The sequence below is a fragment of the Homo sapiens genome, chromosome 14 (assembly GCF_000001405.40).
Source record: "Homo sapiens chromosome 14, GRCh38.p14 Primary Assembly".
In the NCBI taxonomy this organism is placed as follows: Eukaryota; Metazoa; Chordata; class Mammalia; order Primates; family Hominidae; genus Homo; species Homo sapiens.
The window spans coordinates 38,819,385-38,846,011 of NC_000014.9; the positions used below are offsets into that span (position 1 = coordinate 38,819,385).

At 39.6% G+C, this 26,627-nt stretch overlaps 1 long non-coding RNA gene across 1 annotated transcript in view, besides 1 other annotated feature; it reads right to left on the reverse strand.

Moving 5' to 3' along the window:
- Window positions 1–26,627, reverse strand: part of LINC00639 (long intergenic non-protein coding RNA 639) — a 167,544-nt gene that overhangs the window by 70,046 nt on the left and 70,871 nt on the right. The window contains exons 3-4 of the long non-coding RNA NR_039982.1: window positions 16,158–19,820; window positions 15,847–16,014 (exon numbers count right to left, since the gene is read on the reverse strand). This is a non-coding gene — a long non-coding RNA (long intergenic non-protein coding RNA 639). The remainder of the gene's footprint in view (window positions 1–15,846; window positions 16,015–16,157; window positions 19,821–26,627) is intronic.
- Window positions 18,751–19,287: an enhancer, noted in NCBI's record as "H3K4me1 hESC enhancer chr14:39307339-39307875 (GRCh37/hg19 assembly coordinates)". NCBI's record gives its function as "activates a minimal SCP1, AML or CMV promoter by ChIP-STARR-seq in primed H9 embryonic stem cells {active_cell/tissue: H9 hESC(primed)}" and the evidence as "EXISTENCE:reporter gene assay evidence [ECO:0000049][PMID:30033119]".

The window sequence follows — 26,627 nt, forward strand, 5'->3', positions numbered from 1 at the left end:
CACCTGGCCCACCCAGGGCGGAAAACCGCTTAAAGGCATTCTTAAGCCACAAACAATAGCATGAGCGATCTGTGCCTTAAGGACATGCTCCTGCTGCACGCTGCTGCTAGCCCCACCTACTCCTTTAATTCGGCCCATCCCTTTGTTTCCCATAAGGGATACTTTCAGTTAATCGAATATCTATAGAAACAATGCTAATGACTGGCTTGCTGTTAATAAATATGTGGGTAAATCTCTGTTCGGGGCTCTCAGCTCTGAAGGCTGTGAGACCCCTGATTTCCCACTTCACACCTCAATATTTCTGTGTGTGTGCCTTTAATTCCTCTAGCACCGCTGGGTTAGGGTCTCCCCAACCGAGCTGGTCTTGGCACATTGTCTATAACACAATACTTCTATTTTGTTGTTTTGTTAGGAAACACAGGCGGCATTCTTACCAGAAAAATCTGAAAGGCAGGAGTATGTAACAAGCTGATTAACCACATTGGCTATTGCAAAAACAAAGATCTGTTACTTAATCTAAAAAGAAACTGCCCTTTTTCCCACAGTGGGTCCAAGAGCATGAGAGGATTTCCTGTGGACCAAATATGGACCATTCTGAAAAACAGTCTGAAGTTGTTTGAAATCTTACCCAAGAAAATCCTACCCTGAAAGGAAGAGCAAGAAGACACCAACAGAGGTCTTGAAAAAAGGGACCACATGAGAACTAGGGGCTGAAGGGGTAGTCCCTTCCAGCAGCCCAGGGCTAGAAGAGCCCCCAAGGGGAGGCTCAAATAGCCCACAAAAGTGTCCACAAGGTAAGGGCAGCTATAAATGCCTGTCAGGCCCATATATGCGTCATATATACGCATCCTGCGTCACTGCTGAATCAACACCATCCTGCATCACTGCTGAATCAAATTAGAATATCTGGGACCTTCCCCTCCCCACCAACTCCACAGCTAGCAAATGGAAGAGGCTGGGAGGCGGAAACAAAGCTTCTTACCCCTAGTCCTCAACAGCAGCCTTAGGTTCTTGATGGGGTGAAGGGAGATTTGAGATTAAGTCACACTAAGAATTTTCATCATTGTTGAACATCAGACATTCTGTTTTCTGAGTTGAGACTATCTGTAGCTTTAAGTGATGTTAGGACTATTACCTAAAAAATCACCAAAAAAGTCCTGAGACCTGCCTAGGTTTCATCCTGGGGAGGGAATTATAGTCACCCCCAGTGAGTATACATTAAAAGACCATGAGGGATAAAAAATTAACTTGTGCTTATTCATGTTATAGATTATACAGAAATTTGCTTAAAACAGAACACCTGTAAATGTACTGCCTTTTCATGTTTACCTTAAACTTTATGAACCTGCTCTGAGTGGCATACCAAAAATCTGGCCTTTTCAGGACATTTTATAAGAGGAATCCAAGTTTCAAAGTTGTCTGAGAATGTAATTGACCATCTGGAAGAACCAAAAATGAAATCAAAGTCTACATGAGATAAGAAAATCTTCAGGCAAACTCAGGACCTGAAGTCAATTTCAAAAAAAAAAGAAAATATGGAATTTAAGTTATCAAAGAACATATAAACTAGAAAACAAAGCTACATATCTCATGAAAAATCAGAAAATTACTTCAAGCTATCAAAATTATGACCTAAAAATATTGCAAATAGAAAAAAAAATGGTTGTTAGAGCAATGATACATCTAATTTTTTTACCTGCAAAATTTCTTTCTTTTGAAATTTCATAAGATCCCTGCTGTCAAGTAAAGACTAATTTAGTAATGATGCTAAAAGAATATGAAGCTTTCTATTCAGGTTTTCAAAAAGCTTTTTTATTTTGACTTTATATAAAATGAATTTTTGGAGAGAAGTCTGGGATTTTATAGGAGTGACTTCTTCTTTGTGTACAGTGGTATTGACTGACCAATTGGCTTAAGAAAACATGGATGATAAGTTAGTATGGAAGAAAAAGAAAATCAAGGAGAGACAGATAATGTAGACTATTTTCAAAGCAACCTTGTACTTTTTAAAAATCACTTATTTTTAATTATGATAAAATATAAATAACATAAATTTTACTATTTTAATCTTTTGTAAAAAATTTTTAGAGACACCATCTCTCTCTGTCACCCAGGCGGGAGTGCAGTGGCAGGATCATAGCTCACTGCAGCCTTGATCTCCTGGGCTCAAGCAATCCTCCTGCATCAGCTTCCCAAGTAGCTAGAACTGCAAACACAGGCCACCACACCCAGCTAGTTTTTTCTAGTTTTTGTGGAGACTGAGCCCTGCTCTGTTGCCCAGATTGGTCTCAAACTCCTGGACTCAAGTGACCCTCCCATCTCAGTCCCAAAGTGTTGGGATTACAGATTACAGGCATGAGCCACTGCACCTGCCTTCTGTTTTAACCGTTTTTTTGTTTTTCTTTTTTGTTTTTGTTTTTTAATGGAGTCTCGCTATGTCGCCAGGCTATAGTGCGGTGGTGCGATCTCGGCTCACTGCAACCTCCACCTCCCGGGTTCAAGCGATTCTCCTGCCTCCACCTTCTGAGTAGCTGGGACTACAGGCACGTGCCACCAAGCCCAGCTAATTTTTGTATTTTTAGTAGAGACGGGATTTCAACGTGTTGGCCAGGATGGTCTCAATCTCTTGACCTTGTGATCCGCCCACCTCAGCCTCCCAAAGTGCTGGCATTACAGGCATGAGCCAGGGCACCTGGCCTATTTTAACCATTTTAAGTATACATTTCAGTGGCACTAAGTACATTCACATTGTTGTACAACCAATATCACCATCCATCCACAAAACAATTTTCATCTTGCCAATCTCAAACTCTGTACCCATTAAACAATATCTCCCCATTCCTCCCTCCCCTTAACTCCTGACACCCACCATTCTACTCTCTGTCTCTATGAATTTGACTACTCTAAGTGCCTCATATGTGTGGAATCATATAGTATTTGTCCTTTTCTGTCTGACTTATTTTGTTTAGCATAATGTCCTCATGGTTTATTCATGTTATAGAATGTGTCAGAATTTTCATCCTTTTTAAGGCTGAATAATATTCCACTATATTTGTATACTACATTCCATTTATTCATTTATCCATCATGGACACTTAAGTTGCTTCCACTTTTTGGACTACTGTGAATAATGCTGCTAAGAACATGAGTTTACGTATATCTATTCAAAATCTGCTTTCACTTATTTGGGGTATATACCCAGAAGTGGAATTGCTAGATCATATGGTAATTCTATTTTTTATTTTTGAGGAACTGCCATATTGTTTTCCACAGCAGCTACACTACTTTACATGCCCACCAGCAGTGCACAAGGGTTGCAATTTCTCTATACCCTCACCAATACCTGTTTTCTGTTTCTTTTTCTTTCATAATAGCTATCCTAATGGGTGTGAAGTGATATTGCATTATGGCTTTGATTCATATTGCCCTAATGATTTCCTAGTGATGTTAAGTATCTTTTCATGTGCCCATTGGCCACTCATATATCTTCTTTGGAGAAATGTCCATTCAAGTCCATAAAGCAACCTTGTATTTTATTCTTTGTTAACTCTACAAATGATACCATATTAATGTTTTTAAAAATTGATGTTTTCAGCAATCACCACATCTATCTAGCAGCATAAAACAGTTCAAATTTCAGATCCTTTTTTTTTAATTTTTCATTTTTTGTAGTACTAGTATGCAAGCTTCTTTACAAAGAAAAAAATACCAACCTAGCTACTTTGGGATCCTGTTCAGCTCTGTGCTTGTAGATCTACACAACCACACAGACAATTAAGTGTAGAAGGCACTCTATCATGTCAGATGATACAGAGCTACACTGTCCAATATAATGGCTATAAACCTCATATAATTATTGAGCACTTAGAATATGGCTAATCCCAATTGAGATGTTTTATAAGTATAAAATTTACATCAGATTTCAAAGATTTAGTGATATGGTTTAGCTGTGTTTGCACCCAAATCTCATCTTGAAGTATAATCCCCATAATCCCCACGTGTTGTGGGAGGGACCCAGTGGGAGGTAATTGAATCATGGGGTCGGTTTCCCCCATGCTGTTCTCATGATAGCGAGTGAGTTCTCATGAGATCTAATAGTTGTATAAGCATCTGGTATTTCCCCTGCTGGCACTCATTCTCTCTCCTGCCACCCTATGAAGAGATGCCTTCCACCATGATTGTAAGTTTCCGGAGGACTTCCCAGCCATGTGGGACTGTGAGCCAATTAAACCTCTTTTCTTTATAAATTACCCAGTCTGGGGTATTTCTTCATAACAGCATGAAAATGAACTAATACACTTAGTATTTTATAAGTAATGTGAAATATCTCAATAGTTTTTAAACTGATATGTTAAAATAATATTTTAGATGTACTGAGTTCAATAAAACATGTAATTAGATTTAATCTCACCTGTTTCTTTTTACCACTTTAATGTGGCCATTGGAAAATTTTAAATGACATATGTGACTCTGATTTATGGCTCACATTCTGTTTCTATTGGACTGTAGATATAAATAATTGTGACTAAGTAGACCACTTCTATGATTGTGGATACACAAGTTAACTCAGAATTAGAAAATTTTCCATGTAATTCAAATTGTTTTTCAAAAACAAATTCTTTTCATTATTAGTATATTATATTGTCCAGAATTATCTAGGTGAATGCCATTATTCTATATTCAAATTTTTTAGTATAAACACTGCCTCTTGCATTTAAGTTTACCTCATGGGAATTTCTATGCCTGTTCAGAAATAAATTGTTGGAAACTCTTTTTAGTATAGTGGTAGAAGGGCAAAAAAGAGACAAACTCTCTCCATCAAGCCCCTTTTTTAAATATCATTTCAACTTTTATTTTAGATTCAGGGAATACATGTGCAGGTTTGTTACATGGGTATATTGTGTGAGGTTTGGGATACCAATGATCCCACCACCCAGGTAGTAAGCATAGTACCCAACAGGTAACTTTTCAACCCTCGCCCTCCTCCCTTTCTCCCTTCTAGTAGTCCTCACAGTCTACTGTTCTCATCTTTATGTCCATGTGTACCCAATGCTTAGCTCCCACTTATAAGTGAGGACATGCAGTATTTGATTTTTTGTTCCTGAATTAACTCACTTAGGACAATGGCCTCCTGTTGCATCCATGTTGCTGGAAATGACATGATTTCTTTATTTTATGGCTGCATAGTATTCCAAGATGTATATGTACTACATTTTCTTTATCCAGTCTACCACAGATGGGCATCTGGGTTGATCCCATGTCTTCACTATTGAACATACTAGTATGTGTCTTTTTGGTAGAAAAAATTTATTTTCCTTTGGGTACATACCCAATAATGGAATCACTAGGTCGAAAAGGAGTTCTAAGTTCTTTGCAAAATCTCCAAATTGTTTTCCATAGTGGCTGAAATAATTTGCATTCCCACCAGCAGTGTATAATCATTCCTCTTTCTCTGGAGCCTCACCAGCATCTTTTTTTTTAACTGTTTAATAATAGCCATTCTGACTAGTATGAGATGGCATCTCATTGTGGTTTTGATTTGTATTTCTCTGATGAGTGATGTGAGCATTTTTTCCTATATTTGTTGTCCGCTCATCCAGCCCTTTTATAATGGCATTAATCCATTCATAAGGGTAGAGTCCTCATTACCTAAACACTTCCCAAAACTCCCCACCTCCCAACACTATTGCACTGCAGATAAAGCTTTCAACACATGGGTTTTGGAGGACATATTCACATTATAGCAGTGAAGGACACAAAGGAGGGCTAAGATTATTAATTTATTTAAAGATAATTTTTAAAAACTGAGGCAAATCAGTCATGGTGTTAAATTTATGTGACAAAAAATATTTTGTCAGTATTATTTGAAGTATTTTCTAATTTTATTGATATAAAATCAAACTTATATTGGTAAATTCTCTTTCCCTTCTAACTTGTAAGAGCAAGTTATTGTTAAGAAATAGAAATAATTACAAGCTACACTTTTTCAGTCAGACTGGTAATACATTTTCTTTCAGCCTATTATCTGAGAAATGTTATGAAATCTTCAAACCCAATATTAACTAGATTTGTCTTTAAGATATATTTTGCAAACAACAATCAACTTTTGATTCAGGGAAGTTTCTCTAAACTTTCTTCTTATTCAAGATATCTGCTTCTGTCACAGCCTTCTTTCTTTCACTGCTTTCTGCAATAATAAGATCATCCTATAAGCTCCGTGAGCTGAAAATAAATGTATTCCTGAGGTAATCCTCTCTGGTCCCAGGTTTCTAATTAAAACATGGTACTCTGGTGTGCCTCTATTTATAATCAGAGAACTAAGAATTTATTGACAAAGGCTCTCCATTCCCTAATGCCCCCAGCCCTCCACACACAATTAAAATAAATAAATAAGATTTTTTTAAAGCAACGGGAGGCAGGGTGTTTTGAAAGTGTTTAAAATAACTGTAAATGTTCATGCATGCCAGTACCAACACACTTCACACCTCTTTGCTTTTTATTGCAACAGCACCTTTCACCAGGGAATCTGAAATTCTTTAGACATTTACACTTCACCTCACCAATGCACACCGACTTTGCTAGATCTCGCATTTCCTACTCAATTGCTGCTCAACCTGTCTCTCCATTTCTCTCCCTTCACCTTCCCTTCCTCTTACCTACTTCAAATTCAGTGTGCCTGAGCCTGAGTCTTAGCATAACAGAGAAGCATCTCTCCTCAGTTGGAACATCCTGAATCCAAGACAATGTTTATAAGTTCAGAATTGATTGAATTGTGAATGTTTTACATTATCTGCATTTTAAAATCTATCCTATGTCCATTAAGTAAATAGATTATATAATCAGCTGCTGATTTAATTATTTTGTTAGTTGTTACATTGGCATCGTGAAGCTCTTTCAAAACCTTCTGCAGTGGTTCCACCAAATCCTAATATCAAGTACATACTGAATTTACAAACAATTCTAAAAGAAAATTAATCAAAAAATCCTTGTGGTTCCATACATTGAAACAGAATAAACACAAAGCCCTTTGTACACAAGGCTGCCTTCCTAACCAACGCTTAGTGCAAGTAGGTGAACTACTTTAATTACCCAGAAAATTCCTTTTTAAAATGTGATTGCTATATTTGAAAGAAAAAAAATAACAATTTACAGATCTTAGTACTCTAAATACAATGTTTTGTGAAAACAGGTAAGTTTTATGTTTGTGGATTAACCAGGCTGGTTTTTAAATTGTACTCTACAGATCAGAAGCGATCAGTGAGAACCTCTCTTTCTACATGTAGTGCTGCCGCTGGGAAGAAATCGGTCATCATGAATATTCATTGGACACCACCAAGTGCTACACCAGACTGAGATGGAGAAGGAGAAAGAGAAATGGTCCATCAAATTAGAAGAAAAGCCCTTTTCATGATTTATGAAAAAGAGAACTATTAAACCTTATGCACTACAAGATTTTATGTCTTTTATGTCAACCTATGAATAACTTTTCCTCTGCAATATTCCAATTTTATTTTCCCTTTAATAATACAACTTTTAAGTACTAAGGATACATAAGATACTTTGTATTAATGATGCTTAGTCAGTCATGGATGCCTGACTTATTAAGGAATACTCAAAATATTCAAATATTTATGTTAGTAAATCTGCTTCAGACTACAAGGAAGAGTTGCTATCTGACTGCTTATGCAATGCTGCTCTGTCCACTACCTTCCTGTCTTTTTTTAAATTAGGTTCTATTGCCCAACTTGCCTGTTTTAAACATTTAGCCAATGTCCTTGAAGTGTTTTCATCATTATCAAGTAAAAATCTGAAAATGAGAATAGTATTAGTATCTACAGCTCTCTATTTTTGTCTTTAACTTATCATGCACCTATTTTGTGCTATTATATATATTCAGTATCTTGCATATAACCTTATTTAAAGAGTATAGCATCATTGTAAAGCAGATACATTAAGGTGTCTGTTTTACAGATGAAGAAATCGAGGTTCAGCAAGGACTTGCTCAAAGTCACACAACTGGCAAGTGACAGAGACTGGATATGAACTGAGTCAGACTCCAAATTTTGACTCAAAAAAGACACTACCTTTGTGCTCTATAAAGTGCATTCATTAGGGCCTTTATCATGCCAGTCTGTCAGCAATTGTGTTCCCCCTGGCTCGGAGCCTTTCCTCCACACTTCAATCAAATAGAAATCCCTCATTGCAGTTGAGAACTAAGTGGAGTTACTGGCCCAAAGCATTCAGGTTAGCTCTATGGATAGTTTCCAAGTTGACCAAATCGTAACTGACCTGTTGAGAGACACAGGTGATTCAGGAGATAATTTTTTTCATACTATACTGGGAGGTGAATGGTAAAAAATACCATAGGATGAGGGAAACAAGGGGAAAATGAACAAAAACGATATCCATTATAACTACATAAAAAGAAACTGGCACACCAAACATCAGTGTTATTATGAAGAACTATTCACCATCTGAATCTGACCACAGTTAGAAAACCTGCCACATCACAAGCGCCTTGGATAATAAAAACATCTATTTCAAATGTTTTCCTAAAAAGCATTTTGAAAGAATAAATAAGATTTCAAAATAGAAAAAAAAATCTAACTGCATAAACTGAACACAATGCTGAATGCTATCCTCATCCAAACTGTCTTTCCTTTATCTTACTTATCACCTTCAATATACAATAAAAGTTCAGCCACAAAATCAGCTTAGAAAGGAGAATTACCTGGCCTAACTGCATAGATTGATTTGATAGTGAGATACTTTCCTGCAAAGACATTTATGTGTTATCTGGAAGAACTTTTAGCTCTTCATTTTAAGTTTTACCAGCGATTGATTTATTATAGGAAAAAGATTCAATTTTTCCTCTTATGCTCAGCAATGTGATTTTTTTAAGAAACAACAAGGCGAGCATGAGAGTTCGTGTCTGTAATCCCAGCACTTTGGGAGGCTGAAGTGGGTGAACCACTTGAGCCCAGGAGTTAAAGATCAGCTTGGGCAACATGGTGAAACCCCATCTCTACAAAACACTTAGCTAGGGGTGGTGGCACATGCCTGTCATCCCAGCTACTTGAGAGGCTGAGGTGAGAGGATCATCTGAGCCCAGAAGATCAAGGCTGCAGTGAGCCATGATTGTGCCACTGCACTCCAGCCTGGGTGACAGAGATAAGAGCCTGTCTCAAAAGAAAAAAGACAGGTTCAGTTCAAATAGGAAATCAGCATCTGTGGTTTCAGCTGGATTTCCCAAGTTACAGGGTTCACCTTCTGAATATGCTGCTATTCTTCCTCTTTTTGACGTTTCTGCACTTCCTAAGATCTCTAGCCCATAATCTTGCTCTAGAGACTACCATCTTTGAAACCTAACTCTCTCGTACTCTTACATACATTTTTGGTTTAGATGCTCATTGCCTAACTCTCAAACTAGAACTCTTGTTCTTCTTGAGCAAGAAATCTTTTCCTTCCTATTTACTTTTGTTTTTCCAAAAGCTGGCACAAAATTAGCACTTAAAAATAACTTTTGGCTAGCTGACTATTTCAAGAGTTCCAAATGACTTGGACGGAGACACAATTTTAAGTCATCAAAGGTCCATGACAACATATAAACATTGGACTGTTTCAAGATGGAGGTCTGACTGGTGGTTTTTCTTCCCTTTTTTGGTGCAATAGAATTTATATATTTAAACATTAGGTCAGTTACCTAAAATAAGTTAAACATTAGACCAGTAACCTAGAAAGAAAACTTGTTTTGAGGTTGCTAGTAATTTGGGTTCCAAGTTTAATGAGCCAATAAATCAAATGCTAAAGAACAAGATGATTGAATTTGAGAAGACAGTAGAAATAAGGATGTACCCCTTAGAGAAACAAAGAGTTCCCCTAGATAAACAGAAGAAATGGACAAGGAGCAATAGAAATGGGGCAGTGAGTACAAGGCAACCTACAAAGTCTGGAAGTAGTCCTTAGGAAGTTGTTCAAGGAAGGTAAAGGGCCACAGCCTGATAGGAGTTGAAAGAGTAACTGACAAAGGACCATTAAGCCCAGAAGCTGACTAGAAAGTGAGTTGCTCAGGCAGAATGCCCAGCCCTTACTCTCAGCAAGAATGTCCCATTTTGTGTGCCCAGCAATGACACCAATTGTTCTTATTGACCTACATGCTCAGAACTTCACTTCGTTATCATCCAGCACCTCAACCACTGATTGCCCTGTGTGGACTATTTTCCTTAAACCTCATCAGCTTGTGCTAATGTACTCCAAGAAAGGGAGGTGGGACTGTGGACATCTGGTGGGTAAGGAAAATTATCAGCATATCTGGCAGGTAGGAAGAATTATTGGTACATCTGTACTGTGTGGGATGAAATGAACAAAGGGTGGTAAGATCCCTACTCTACTGGCATCAAAAACAGTTGAACCATCTATTCTCAAGTGTGGAATCCTTGAGGCTTTCAATGTAACAATGTCTTTGCAACTTCCTAGTGAGGCTACTCATCAAACATGGTAGTTTAAATATACCTGCTTTATTCTATTCCATCCTAAAATATCACCAGAATAATAACAGAATAGTAAAGGGGATAACAACAGATAAGAGATATTATAATTTTGGAAGACAGAAAGTAGATGGGCCAGTGTTAACTAGCAAAGCAGAGGAAATGAAACCTAAGTGCGTGGAACTGGGAAGCCACTATACAAGGAAGCTAGTTGGTGCTCCAGAATCCCAGGAAGCATGAGGAATTTGAGAAACTGCTTACTACAGAGGGTGAAGGGTGAAGAGTGGGACTAAAAACAAGAGTGTGGCTGAAAACCTATATAGAGGACAGTTATCTTCCCACCCTTTCACCCACCCCATCCAGCCAGAAAACTTCTCATACACTATTTCATCAGGAAAGGAGAGGTTTACTCTAGATAATTAAACCATCGATCTCCTTCTCCCTATCAACTTGTAAAATACTAGAAGTCGGAAAATTGGGGAATTCTTTTCTGGAGAGCTTGATCAGCTCAAGGGAAAAGAACTAATATTGAGAGCTGGGTGTCTTCTCCCACATAAACTACTAGATCTTTGCCCAATCAATAAGCCCAGCCAGATTTTAGTGTCTCAGTCAGATTCTTAGTGCCTCACTCTTTAAATACAAACAGTAAGCCAAGCATGTTAGCCTTTTGAGGAAAGCTTCAACATGAAAGACCTAAACAAACAAACAAAAATTTTAACAAAAACAGAACTCAGCAAAGAAAAGCAATATGGAGAGAAGCAGCAGTCATTTGTAATAAATAACCTCACAGGAATTAAGAGAGCATTACAGTCATAAAACAAAGTCAGGATGCTATGTTTCAAAAAGAAAATTCAGTGAACAATAAAGCAGTCTTCAAATTTAAAATATAAAATAAAATTTTACATTTTAACAAAAGAACTGAAAGATAAAATTTTTCATTTGAGTATTTCTTATAGTGTTTGAAAAATAAAGACATGAACAATAGGAGTACCACTAGAAATTACAGACAGAGAGAACAGGGAAAAAAAATCTATCAAAGAAATAAGATAATTCCCAGAATTGAAGAATATGGGTTTTCAAACTAAAAGGTTACACTGGGGGCCAAGGAGTGTCCCTTTGTAGCAGCTTTCAGATTAAAAAATCATATACAAAAGTTCAGCATAATAATAGCATCAGACTTCTCAACAGCAATACTATACTGGAAGCTAGAAGACAATGGAGCAATGCCTTCAAATATGACAGGAAATTTAGAATTCTATGCCCAAACTATCAAGTGTGACAATGAATAAGACATTTTCAAAAATGTAAGTTTTCAAAAAATAAATTACCTTCCACGCATCATTCTCAGAAAGTTATAGGAAATTGTAATCCGCTAAAACAAAGTGTTTATTAAACTCTTGATATCCTTTTGACACATGAAATACCTAGAGTGATATCCCCTCTTTTATTCCTTTTTTTTTTTTTTTTTTTTTTTTTGAGATGGAGTCTTGCTGTGTCACCCAGGCTGGAGTGCACGATCTCGGCTCACTGCAAGCTCCGCCTCCCGGGGTCACGCCATTCTCCTGCCTCAGCCTCCGGAGTAGCTGGGACTACAGGCGCCCGCCACCACACCTGGCTAATTTTTTGTATTTTTAGTAGAGACGGGGTTTCACCATGTTAGCCAGGATGATCTCGATCTCCTGACCTCGTGATTCGCCCACCTCGGCCTCCCAAAGTGCTGGGATTACAGGCGTGAGCCACCGCGCCCGGCCCCTTTTATTCTTAACATTAATTTATGTTTTCTCTCTCCTTTGATTTTCTATTATATTAAAATTTTATAATTTTATATATTATATTTATATTACTTGATATGTTTGTCTAGCATATTAATCTTTTCAAAGAATCCAATTCAACTTCATTAATTTTCTTTTTGTTATTATTTTCTTCTTTCTTCTTACTTTAGGCTTCACTTCCTCTTCTTTTTCTGGCTGCATAAGGTAGAAATTTGCACCATTTATTTTAAACCTTTCTTCTTTTTCTAATATGAGCATTTCAAGCTATAAATTTCCCTCTAGGTACTTTTTTAGCTGCTTCCCACAAGATTAGATATATTTTCATAATAATTTATTAAGAAATATTTTCTAACTCTCCTTATGACTTCTTCATAATAATTTATTGAAAAATATTTTCTAATTCTCCCCATTATTTCTTCTTTGACCTATGGGTTACTTAGTATTATTTAATTTCCAAATAATGGAGGATTTGTCAGATATATTACTGTCACTGATTTATAATTTAATTGGTTGTGGTCAGAGAATATACTCTATACAATTTCAATCTTTTGAAAATTTATTGAAATTAATTTTACGGTCTGGCATATGGTTTATCTTAGTGAATGCTCCATGTGTCTTTGAAAAAAATTGTATATTCTACCTTGTCAATTAGATCATGTTGATTGATAGTGTTTTCCAGATCTCTATTCTTATTTTTTTTTTTTGTCTAGTTAGTCTATCAGTTACTGGAAGAGAATTGTTAAAAAAAAAATATTCAGCTATGATTTTCCTATGTTTCTGCCTGTATTTAGTTGCTCCTCTATGTCTTCAAATAGTTGTTTTTCATATTTTGTTTAAAGTTTATTATTGTTAACTGCAGGATTAATCTGATACAAGCTGCTCCGTCATTACTAGAGGCAGAAAACTAACACTCCATTTTGAGAAAAATATTTGTATTCTAACGTTTGACTCAAATTTCTAAACATATTGTTTTATTTCCCATATCTGCTCCCCACCCTCAATCCTGCCATGATATCATGAAAGGTTCTGATACCAAAATATATCATTTCCCTTAGTAGACATTAAAATTACTTTCTTTCCCTTTTGTTTCTGTGAACAAGCATTATATTGCCCTTTATTGAAATGCCTTTAAAGCTTTATTGAAAACAGATAAACATAAGACAAGAGGAAAATCTTCTCATTCCACTAGCCTGCCCAATTTCCACCTCTTCTCTCTAAAGGGGAAAAGGAACAATTATGAGAGGACATAGAAAACACAGGAGACCCTGTCTATCTGTGGAAAATATTTTCTAGAAATTCCAGAAAAGAGAAAATTCATAACCATGAGAGGGATTGGTCCTGACCAAACTACAAGGTAACAGAAGAGATTGATATTTGGCAATCAGAAGAATTGAAAAGGCCATGCTGAGATTTAAAGGGGCAGTTTTGGAGAGAAATGAGAACTGCCTGTTGCTACTGAATACATGCACTCTTTCTGCACAGTACAAAAATCCAAAACCATGAATCTCAAAATCCCATATCATAAGTTATATCACCATTATAAAAAGCAATTTTGCCAAAGCATCTATTTTATGTGGCAGTATCCTAAAAGCTCATAAATATTTGAGCTGCAGACAGACATTTTTCTGAAAATTGAAACTAACTTCATAACTCTGCGTTACCTTTTGGAAGGTGTAGAAGTAAAACTTATCCAGCCTGTAGGACAAAGCCATCTGTCCTATTCTTATCCCTGTGAAAAGCTTTTTTCTAGCTGAGCTTTTTTTCACGGGAGCACATGAGTCCTCTCAAGTTCTGGCACATTTAATTGCCCCACACCCACTCTGCAATAGTCCAGATAGAAGATCAAAGAAGAGATGAGAAGAACTAGTCTATCTTGAAAAAGAAATCACTCTAACTTCTTCAATTATCTTAATGAAAAAGAGAAAAATAAAGAGGAAAAGAGAATGTGTGGTTCAGTAGAGAACACAAGTAAATTCAGAATCCCAAGGTTCCAACATTAACTCTGTTATTATCACAGTATGTGACCAAGCCATCAGTAATGTTTATACTGTTCATCTGTTAACTAAGGGCATGTACAGAGAAGGAATGAAACATAGGCCATGAAAATGAATGCAAGTATTTTTTATCTTAAGTGCCTAACATGTCCTGATACAACCATTCCTTTCTTTCCGTAGAACTACTGAAAACCTTGAAAAAGCTGGACTTTGATACTTTTCTCCAAATCTAAGACTGGCAGACAATCTCTTCAAGAAAACCTTCCTTAGCTACAACCACCGCTAACCTGGCATTCTCTGTTCCTTATTCTATATTGTTTTTCCTCATAGCACTTATCACTGTCTGAATATATATATGTGTGTGTGTATATATATGAATATATATGCAGATATATATGTACATATATATATTCCTCCATTTATTATTCAGACTATAATCTCCACTAGGAAAGAAAGGCACTTTGGTTCCCTGCTATGTCCCCAATATTTGGAAGCCATACCTAGCCTAGCCGTAGTAGAGACTAAACAAATGTTGATTGAATAAATGAATAAATCTAATGCTGGCAGTTAAAAAGAATACATAATGAAGCAGATTGAACTAATTCAGTATTTCTCATACTGAGATCTTGAATTATCTGGAAGTCAGCTACAAGTACAATCACACTGGCCGAGCACGGTGGCTCATATTTGTAATCCCAGCACTTTGGGAGGCTGAGGCAGGCAGATCATTAGGTCAGGAGTTTGAGACCAGCCTGGCCAACACAGTGAAACCCTATCTGTACTAAAAATACAAAAATTAGCTGGGCGTGGTGGCGGGCACCTGTAGTCCCAGCTACTCGGGAGGCTGAAGCAGGAGAATCGCTTGAACCCAGGAGGCAGAGGTTGCAGTGAGCCGAGATCGTGCCACTGCACTCCAGCGTGGGTGACAGAGCTAGACTCCGTTTCAAAAAAAAAAAAAAAGTACAATCACACTGATAGGTGAGGCTCTAAAGACATTTCATCCTAGGCTGTAACAATTCCATAATAGTTCACTGCGTTCCTGGTACCTTACACTGCTGAATGACTTCTATGGGCTAAATTCAGTATTTTTGCAACTATTCCAGTTCTCTATAGCCTACTCACATGGCTTAACTTAACAAAGGATTTTCACACTGGGTACTTAAAATAAAGGCAGAAGGATATCCATATATTGAATATGTGGACAAAGGAAGAAATAGAAATACAATGAATCGACCCATCCTACAAATTCCACTCTGGGTCTCATAATAGGAGACCCTTATGACTGTAGACACATTTTCCTTCCTGGATTGTGGATTGGCTTCTTGGCTTTCCATCTTTTCCATTATCAGTTAGAGACGTAGGATATCATACTAACGAATAGCTATATTAGCAACAACAGCAATCTTATGCTGTCAACAGGGTGCATGCCACACCACCCCCCCGCCCTGCTCCACACACACACACACACACACACACACACACACACGCATACACTCTGCTCCTTTAGAACAAAACTAGCTTCTCACTGATCTCTCTACCTCAGAGCCCATTTACTCCTAAGGCCCAACAAAGAGGATAGGGTTTTTACGGTACCAGCAAGACGATGGTGGCCCTTGGCCTCCCGGTGCAGAGTGTCAGTCCCGCACTGGGAGCGTGGAGAGGTGTGTGGGAAGCAAGCCTTTCTTGAAGTGGGGCCAAGAGAGAGAAGTCAGCAGCTCCTTAGCCCTCACGCTTCCAAGGAACAGAGAATGATGGAGAAGCCTGCAGGCAGAAAAAAGAAGACGCTGACCCAGAGGGAGAAAGCCGATGCGCAGAAGAGCGTGCCCAGAGAGGAGAAGGCCTCCGGGGACAGAAAGCCACCTGAGAGGCCCACTGTGCCCAGGAAGCCCTGCACAGAGCCCCACCTGAGTCCTGAAGAAGAGCACATCTTTGATGCCTTCCACGCTTCATTTAAAAATGCCTTTGAGGGGGTTCCCGTGTTCATTCCTTTTCAGAGGAAGAAACCCTAAGAGTGCAGTTAATGGAGGTGGATCTTTAAGCATAAGACAGACCACATTCGCCATCAGAGGGTCCACACCGGACAGAAGCCCTTCAAGTGTTAGCAGTGAGGGAAGGCCTTTCGGCACAGCTTTGATGTCACCAAACACCAGAGGACTGACGCTGTTGGCCTTCATCAGACGTGTTGCCTGGGGGGTGTTCTGCTCTGGGGAGCGCACTGGAGGGGCCACCCCAGCTACAGGTGGGCAGGTGAACCACCAGAGGGGAGCCGTGGCACCTATGGCCTCCTGACGGTCCTGCCACCACAGTCGCTGCATGGCCTTCATGGTTTCTCAGTGGTCCTTGGTCCCGATGGCGGGTACGTGGCACGTCCGTGGTGTCGTGTACCTGCCTCTGTGATGACCGCGTCTGGCACTGCGGGGCATGTGCTGGGGAGGCCAGTCTCCCTGTGGGGCTCCCCCAGTCTGTGGTCAGCTCACTGCTGTCAGCATGGGGGTGAGGGAGCGAGTGGGGGCGGCCTCAGCCTCACCTAGACAGACTGTCCCTGGATGCCGCCGGCAGACCACAGCCGGTGTTGCCCCCCACAGGGCAGAACATCCTGGTGGGCCCCCTGCCCCAGATCTCCTTATGCAGCCGTTCCCTGTGTGTCCTGAGGCTGGACGGCCTCAGCCAGCTGTCACCAGGAGAGGAGGGCTCACACTCCCAAAAATGGACATCTCAGGAGGTAAAATTGTTCAGAAGCAGGCATCAAAGCACAAGTGATGTGTGATCCTGGATCAGAAGAGTTGTGAAGGACCTTGCTGGGTCGTTTGGCAGACCTGGAGTGTAGACCAGGCACAGTCGGTGCCAGCTCAGCAGCGACAGGACAGTCCTCACTGACATCCTCCTACTACAGATGCACACTGAGGCTCTCAGCCACAGAACGTGACATCTGCAGTTCGTGCCAACAGTGTGTACATGTCACTGGAGAGTGACAGAGGAGACTGGCTAAATGTCAGTCACTGGGGAATCTAGAACACAGGGCTGATAGGATGGACCCCCAGATGCAGAATGATATCTCACCAGGTCATGCCCACAGAGACACCAGCAGCAGCGCACGGCTGGCCGGACCACCTCGGCCTCTCTAGCAGCGGGCAGGCTGATAGAACAGATCACCCCCAAAGGGGAAAGTTCCAGATGAAATATGCATAAGAAGCAACCTCAAAACTAACAAAAAAGATTTGCACATTTCTCAGTTCAAAGGAGGAGCAGAGATTAAGAAAAAGAGAATAAAAGTGCTCAAAAGAGAAGAAAAAGAATCTCCTACTGTGTAGCGGGCTCCTGGCCCAGGGAGGATGGTCTGCAGCAGAGTACATGCAGGGAAGCACCCTCTGAAATGCCTAGAAATAGCTGCAGGGCTTTCACTTGGTTCCCATCAACGGTCAAAACCATCACAGTGGGCAACTTTGCACCAGTGACCAGTCAGTGCTCACTGTCCTCAGGCCACTGCAGAGCCATCCTAGTGGGGCAGGGGCTCCTGACTCCAGTAAGGCCACCCTGGAGGGGAGTCCCAGGAATCAATCTGATGTTCAGAACCTTCCTGGCATCTCAGAAGTGTACTAGGGGAGAGGTGAGGACCCTTTGGCCAAGTGTCAGCGTTCTCACTGCAGGAGAACATTAAAGCCACAACCCAGAAACTTCTCAGGAGCATGGCACACCCACACCAGCCCTAGGCTCTGCCTGGACAGCACCTCCTGGGCAGCACCTCCTGAGCTGCCCTGACCAGCAGACACCATCCTCCCAGCCTCATTCAGCCGCCCTGACCAGCAGGCACCATCTTTCCAGCTTTGTTCGGCTGCCCTGACCGGTGGGTACCTCCCTCCCTGCCTCGCTTGGCCACCCTGACCAGAGGGCTGCCCTGACCAGCAGGCACCATCCTCCCAGCCACGCTCAGCTGCCCTGACCAGCGGGCACCATCCTCCCAGCCTCACTCGGCCGCCCTGATCAGAGGGCTGCCCTGACCAGCAGGCAACATCCTCCCAGCCTCGCTTGGTCGGCCAGGCTCTGCGGGCCTCAGAGTGCAGGGAATCTCTGAATGTTGTGACTTTGCTCTCCTGCAGGGACCTGCCATGGAGTGTCCCTTGTGCAAGCATTTTGTGAGCTATGCCAGCATCTGTCCCCACACGCCCCATCCCTGAGCCATTTCCCAGGAGAGCAGGAAGTGAGCACAGGGAGGGGCACTCCCAGCCAGCCCTGGGACCAGAGGTCTGGGGACGCAGCCGGCCACCACGGCAGAGCCCTACTAGTCTGGGCCTCTGTTTCCTCTTCCACACAGGGAAGCAGGGAGGGGCTGATCAGCAACTTAGGCTTGTTGGCTCTGGCGGAGGCCACCTGCATTTCTGGGGAGCCCATGGACCCTGGGGTGCGTGTGGGCTTTATTCCCAGTGACCTCTCCTATTGGTCCCCATTCTGGGCACTGAGATGTGATTGTTTCTTTCCTGTGAATGAGCTGACATCAAAACATGCTGCAGAGGAAGATGGGCCTTAGGGGCAGCATCCTGCGCCTCTGCACCAGGAGGAAGGTTGTGTCCCCAGGGGAGACTCAGAGCTGAGGCGGTGATGGGCAGGGCTCCTGTGGAGCCAGGGTGGGGCAGGGTGTCTCCAAGGTCACTGGGGAACAGCTGAGGCCCAGGGAACACAGGGAGGATGGGGTGCGCTCCAGGATCAGGCAGTCAGGGAGCCTCTTGCTTGCAAGCCTGGTGTTGGCACTCTCCTGGTTTCTTCCGCAAACTCAGCTAGCCACACGTTCAGGGAGCCTGGGCTGAGCAGGCGGCCCCCACCTTGACAGAATCCCCGGGATCCTGCGTGGAGGTGGGGGGTACTTCACAGCCGAGACTAGGCCTGATGCTGCTCTCCCACAGTCACCCTCTCCACAGGGGGCTCTCCACAGTCTCTCCACAGGGGGCTCAGGGCAGGGCTCCAGCCTGAAGGGGGGTTCCTGGATACGGCTCTGAGCCAGGAGCCCCTGCCCCCACACACACCCCTGCACCTTCCACGCCTGTCTCGCCCTGGGGCCCAGGTGCAGTTTTGTGGGGAGCGCAGGGCCGTGCTCTCGTGACCACCGCTCAGCCGAGTGGATTCAGCGAGAGTTTTCAGTGTTTGCGCCTCTGTCCCCGTGTGCCTGTTTCCTGGTGAGGCTGGACTCCTGGCATGTCTGAACACTCACATTCCCCAGGCATGCATGTGCAACCGCCGCCATGCGTGTACTGTGACGCTGACCCCTCCTGTAGCAGCCATGGTCTTGGCCTCTCGCGTTGCTGGCAGATGTTGTCCCATTTCCCACTGTTACTTTCTGTCGTCCAAAAGTTTGACTGTCCTGCCAGCCAAAGCTGTTGAGCTTTACTTTGACGGACCATCAGTTCTTGGTAAGTGTCCTGTGCATTTGGGATAAGCGTCCATTTGTTTTCAGCTGCGCTTCCTGTGACTTGCTCTGCGTGTGTCCTCCTCGGTCCCGGTGGGCTGCTGCATTGGTTCGCCTCCCTTCCCTGCTGCTTGCTGGCTTCTGTGTTCTCTGCAGTAAACACTGATTTCTGGAAAAAAAAAAAAAAAAAAAAGAACATCTTAAGTCACATCAAATTAATTTTAATTTATTGGTTTTCTGGAGAGGGTATTTAATCTGAGAATTCGTTTGCTTTTACAGTAGTATAGAGTTAGAAGTTTATCCCTAGCTTTAAGCTGGAATATTTTAAGAAACATTGTCATAAAAGCCCTTTAGTCAATGCTCAGGACCTATGAGAAATCAATCCATTAAAAGAGGATCATACATTACTAAAGTTTGAGAAACACTGAGATAGACAAAAATAAAACAATTATTGAATAGCCCGTTCTTCACTTCACGAAACATTGTTCCCTTTGTACCTGAAAGAAAATTAAAATACTGCTTCTCCCCATTATCTACACCTCCCTCAGAGACCATCCTATAAGCCAAATAGCAAAACAGGCAGCAGACCCCTAGACAAAAGCACTGATTTTTAAGGCAGCAAAATGTTACTGAACTATCCACGTACTCCTAACCCCACCCTACCTCCACCCTCAGACACCATATTCCTACATGCAGGGAGTTTGAACTCCCAGAAAACATCCAGACATAAAAAAATGACTCATTGCTCTAAAGTAATTATATTTCCATTAAAAAAAAAAAAAAAAAAACTTCTGCAAGTGAATGAGGCAGGAAGTGTCCTGGTAACTGTGCAAAGGAAAGGCTGCAGTCTTTGCATAACCTGTTTCCTTGAAGTGTCAGAGAAATACACACCGAGATATGAAGCAATCATAGTTATGTACAACAGAGCTGCCCTAGATAAGCAGCTGATAGACAGTGAGAACTGAGCTATGTACATCAACTTACCTTCATGCTATAAATATGAGGAAAGGCTTTGACTGACACCTAGATCCAAGGATCAGTGGTAGAAACTAAAAGAAAAACAACAACATGCCATCTATTTTTTTAACTTCAGAAAAAAAGTTATCTTAAAGATGGAAGGGAAGAACAGTCATCTGAAAACAATTTGCTACAGAAACCAAAATAACATTCTAGAAAACTTTTGACAATAACACGCAGGACCTGAAAGTCACAAGGTCAGAATATGCTGAGATGAAGTGGAAAACAAATGACATTAAAGAAAAAAAAAATGAAAAAACTAAAATGAAAACGGACATATAAGATAACTAACAAGGCAATAAGGATTTACTGTACATCAGAGTAGAATTTACACTGGAGAAAAATGCATTCATAATTTGAAATACAAAGTTGAAAAGTTATTTCGCAAGTCAAAGGACAGGAATAAATAGTTGGAAACAATGCAGGCACACTAGATATAGAGGAGGAAGAATAAAACTCCAAACTAAGAACTACAGATAGACTTGAAAAGGAAATCAAAACAGTTGGCACAGGTGCAATAAATCAAGGAAAAATCTATTTAGTTGAAATGTATACATATCTAAAGATCTCTTCATGCTCCAAATAAAGTTAATAAATAGACACATCCTGGCAAATTTTTAACTTAAAGAAAACATCCAACAAGCATTTAGGCCAAGACACTAGTTAACTACAAATAAATATACCATAATATATACAAATAAATAAATATGCACTGTTAGGTAATAGAGAAGTTGCTACAGCATGTTAAGAGAGGAAAACCCATTTTCTACTACTCAGTCAAGTTGCCATTCATGTGTGTAGAAAATAGACATTCTCAGAAATGTCAGGTCTCATAAAAGGTAACATTTAGGGATCTAAAATTACTTAAAGGCACAGTCCAGCCTGAAAAAAAGTGGATAACAATTAAAAGCACAAGAATGTAAACAGGGGGTTAAAAGAACTAGTACATGGTCTAATAAACTTCACATCTATAAAGGGAAATTAGTTCTTTCATGCAGCTTCTGGTATGACAAGCTCCCAGTAGACAGACCCTTTATTCCCAAACATAGATTTCATCTCAGACCTTCGTCGACATCATGCTCTGCTGATAATAATGGTCCATGGCCCCTTATCCACAACATCAAAATCCAAGAAACTTTGAGAATAGAGAACTTTGAGATCAGAGAACTGACATGAGGCTATTTATAGTTTTTTTAATCTTCTGAATGTTAATATTCATCATTTTGCTGCATAAATATTAGCAAATTGGATTGCAGCTTATTGCCACATACTCTTCTGTGGCTATCACATAACATGCAATATTTTCCTTTCTAAAATTAAAAAAAAAAAACTCTTATAATTCTGGAGCACGTTCAAGGATTCCAAATAAGAGATCATGGAACTCCAGTAGACAAACTCACTCAAATGGTTCACTTTCTTATAGCAACACTAGCCAGTTTATGCATCAATTATGTACACCACCTCTCACACCACTCTGGACACTCAAGATAACTGATTTCTTTCTATGGTGTGCAAGGGACTCTCAATTTTAGAAGACATTCAGGGAGGAGGACTCTTACCTGACTCTCACCTGAATACCTATACTATCTGCCATGCTGAAAGCTGGAGGAACACTTCTTGGGCTCCTTGAAAAACGATGAAACATTCCATTCCCATGGCTCATTTCAAACAGTCTCCCTTCATGCACATGTATCCCATATTTAACCAATTACTATTCTATCCAACCCACTGGAAGCCTGTCCTTGACCTTGGGCCTTAGACATCTGTCCCTAGCAAAATGGCAGGTCTAATATAAGAGGTTGTATATTCCTGACACAGCTGTGGGACACTCCAAGTATCTGAACAGTCAGAGTGACATTTACTGGAGGATGACACCCAAATTTTGAACACTATGGTATATTAATGTTTTCCTAAGCTTTGCTTCAAGGATGGAAAGGATCAGATTATGCTTCCCTCTGTTTCTCCAGCTCAAATTACAGGAATTTACAAATGTAAATTCCCATTTGCCCTCTTGGAGGGCATTCTCTATTTGCCCTCTTGGAGATCCTTCCAGTCTCTAACTCCAGATCTGTTGGCTCTGATTCACTTACTCTCTATCATGACTATTCACTTCAGATTCCCCTTTGGTTATTTATCCAATCTTTTTTCTGTATGCTTTGGATGTTTTAAAACTTCTCTTCACCCAGAATACAAAATTTTGTTTGCCTGTGCTCAGTGCTTTGCAGCCATAGGTGAGCCCTATTGTATTTGCTAGAATTAAAACATGTAATCAAAAATAAAATAAAATTATGATTAAATAAAGTAACCGTTTATCTATTTCAGCTAATGGAAGTCCAAAGATATCCCATCCAAGACTTAATGGCTTCCCTGTGGTGAAGAGGCAACCAAGCATCTTTGATCTTTATGTTCTACTATCAGAACATACGGTTTCCATGCTCAAGGTCATCTCACAGACAAAGATGGCTGCTAGAACAATAGATTTCATTTACATCTCCCAGGCAGCAGGAAGGAAAAGGAACAGAAAGGCAAAGAGGACACACTCCTCAGATGAAGGAGCTTCTAAAGACGTTCCAAAAGTATCACTCAAAGCTTAATGCTTACTGTCATTGTCTCAATTCAGGAATGTGTATTCACCTAGCCATAAGGAAGGCTAGCTTGAATTTGGCCAGCTGCCCAATATATACACACACACATACAGGAACACACAGGGTTTTGTTTGTGGAAAAAAGAAGAAATTAGGCTGGGCAACTAGCAATCTACCAGCAGTTTCTGCCATAGTCACCTACTATGATGCTTAGTCTCAGCATTAGGAGATCAGATGTTAATCAGCAATAATAAAACATGCACTCTCAATTCATTGCTCATCCAGATTCATACAAAGTAGTGAGAATGTCAAGGTTACTGAAGTCACAATTTTCTATTAATAAATAAAAGGCAAGAGATATGTTTCAATGGGTTGGAAAAAGCAGGCATGTGCTTTTTGAAATTTTAATGTGGAGTTTGTAGGTGAAAGCTCTATTGACAAGGTCCAGGAAAGATGAAAATGGTACTGGCCATAATCACTTCCTGTTTTACTCTCCATCTTCTCCATTATAGAAATTCTAGCCATGTCAGTGATACCACAGACTTATCCCTTCCTTTCAACTTGGCAGCACAGGCCAGGGTTACTGACATGTTTGCCTTTTCCAACACAGTTAGCATCCTTGTATTTTCTACAGTGGGGCTCTCTCCAATGTCAGATGAGTTTTCCAGTTATGGTACCTCTTAAAAGTTTTAAGACATTTATAAATAAATAAAAAACACTCAAGAAACCTCACAGAACATAATATCAGAATCCTCAAAATATTTTGTGGCAACTAGAAAAGAGGAGGATGAGGTCTGGGAAATCTCTTCGCCCAATTCATGTGATCAGGTTTTCTAATTATCCAGAAGAACCAATACATATCGGCAAGCAACTTAAAAACATGTTATTCTGAAATGCTATGTGTATTTTTTTAAGTTTTTTATTCCATCATGTTTTATTCCAAAACCATAAATTAATTATATGCAGATTAAGAGGCAGACATAAAATCCACTATTAAAAATATTTCATTTATGTTATAAAAATAATTTAATCTATTTTCTGTCTCTATAGATTTGCCTACTCTGGACATTTCATATAAATGGAATTATACACTAGATGGTCTTCTGTGACTGGATTCTTTATTTAGCATAATGTTTTCAAGAATTGTATGGTATGTCCATTATATCTCAAAATGTTATTTTTAAAAATCAATGTTAAAAAGTAAAATAATAATATAACATAAATTGATTTAAAAGAAACTCAAATATAACAAATTTAAGATGACTGGAAGTAAAATTTGAATAAAACTTTAGGGGAGGCAGGGCGCAGTGGCTCCCACCTGTAATCCCAGCACTTTGGGAGGCCAAGGCGGGCAGATCACTTGAGGTCAGGAATTCGAGACCAGCCTGGCCAACATGGCGAAACCCCCCGTCTCTAATAAAAATACAAAAATTAGCCAGGCATGGTGGCACACGACTGTAATCCCAGCTACTTGGGAGTCTGAGGCAGGAGAATCACTTAAATCCAGGAGGCAGAGGTTACAGTGAGCGGAGATCGTGCCACTGCACTCCAGCCTGGGTGACAGAGCAAGACTTTAGAAGAAAACTAGCAAGAAATACAATAGAAATAATTATTAATTCAGATAATATAAACTTAATGCAAAAAGTATCAAATGTAATAAGAAAGATTTTATTAAAGGTACAACTGTCAGGTTGGTGCAAGAGAAATTGAGGTTTTGCTATTACTTTTAATGGTAAACGCCATGATTACTTTTGCACCAGCCCAATGCAATAAAGAAATAAAAGACATAAATTGTTAACAAGCACTAGAACTCAAAATAAACACAATGGTGAGAGAGAATTATACAACTCTCCCAATCTCTAACAGAACAAGTTAGAAAAATATGTATTAAAATGCAATGAATAAGACTGATTTCATAGATAAACATCAAATTTTCAGTCCTTTTTAGAGGATATATTTGCTTTAAAAAGTGAAACAATTACAAAAATGATCATATTTTAAGTCAAAAAGACAAATTCAACAAATTCTAAAAAGCAGAAACTGAACTAGTTAAATTTTCTGAACATAAAACAATAAAGCTATAAATTAATAGTAAAGGTTTAAACAAAAATCATTTAGGAAAAAAATGTAACTTCTTCTGGATAAACATTGTAGTGAAAAGAAATCCAAACCACAATATCAGATTATTCAGAAAACAAAGACAATGAGAACACTGTTCTATCAAACCTAAGGTATGTGACAAAACTTATACTAAGAAGCAAATGTAACCTTAAATGTTTTGACCTGATTATTAAAAAGGAAGGATAAAAATAAATAAATAAAGTGTACAAATAGAACTCGAAATAAATAAGAAAAACAGAGAAAATGAAATAATAAAATAAACATAGAAAATTAAAAGAGAGAGAAATAAACTGGAAAACTGAAAACAGTGTTGATACACAAATATAAGATCTTGTAGTTCAATATGGATAATAAAATATATTTATCCCTGGTAAATCCATTCAAGAAAAAAAAATATATAAAACAAGTTATGAGACTAGAGAGTCAACCAATACAGAAAAAAAAAACTTAAAAACCTAAGAGAATAGTATATAATACCATAAGATGTTTGAAATATATGATGAATTAATAAAAAAGAATAAGAATTTCTCAACATAATATCTACCCAAAAAAATCAATAATATGCTTAATGGTGTGAAATGCTAGAAGCAGTCCCATCATAATAATGAATAAAATAAGAAAGTATGCTTTCTCCTTTACTATCAAACACTGTTCTAAACACTGGCCAGTGAAATAAAGCATGAAATAGAAATGAAGTAAAATTATTAAAAAGCAAGAAACTAAATTATCATTACTTGCAACTGATATTATCATATAGCTAGGGAGAAATGCAAGAGAATCAACTATAAATTTTATAAAATTAGTGGAAGAGTTCAATAATGGCCAAATAAGTATTAATGGCCAGATAAAATACATATGCAAATATTAACAGCATTTCTACATAAACGGCTACAATTGATAATGAGAAAAAAGTTTCCACTCATAATAGCAAAAAAAAACTTTAATACCTGGAAATGACAATAATAGAGTCAGCCACTACAGATAACATTTACCGAACTTCAAAACAGAGAAGTAATGGCCAAAGAAACAGAATTTGGGAAAGTTTGTTTTTAGGAATTTTTTTTTTTCCAAAAATCATGGGCAGTCATATACGCCAATGAAGAGGATCTCCTTGAAAATGAAATGTTAAGTACTTGAAAGAGAAAGGCGGCCAGGAGCGGTGGCTCACGCCTTCACGCCTGTAATCCCAGCACTTTGGGAGGCCGAGGCGGCTGGATCACGAGGTCAGGAGATCGAGACCATCCTGGCTAACAC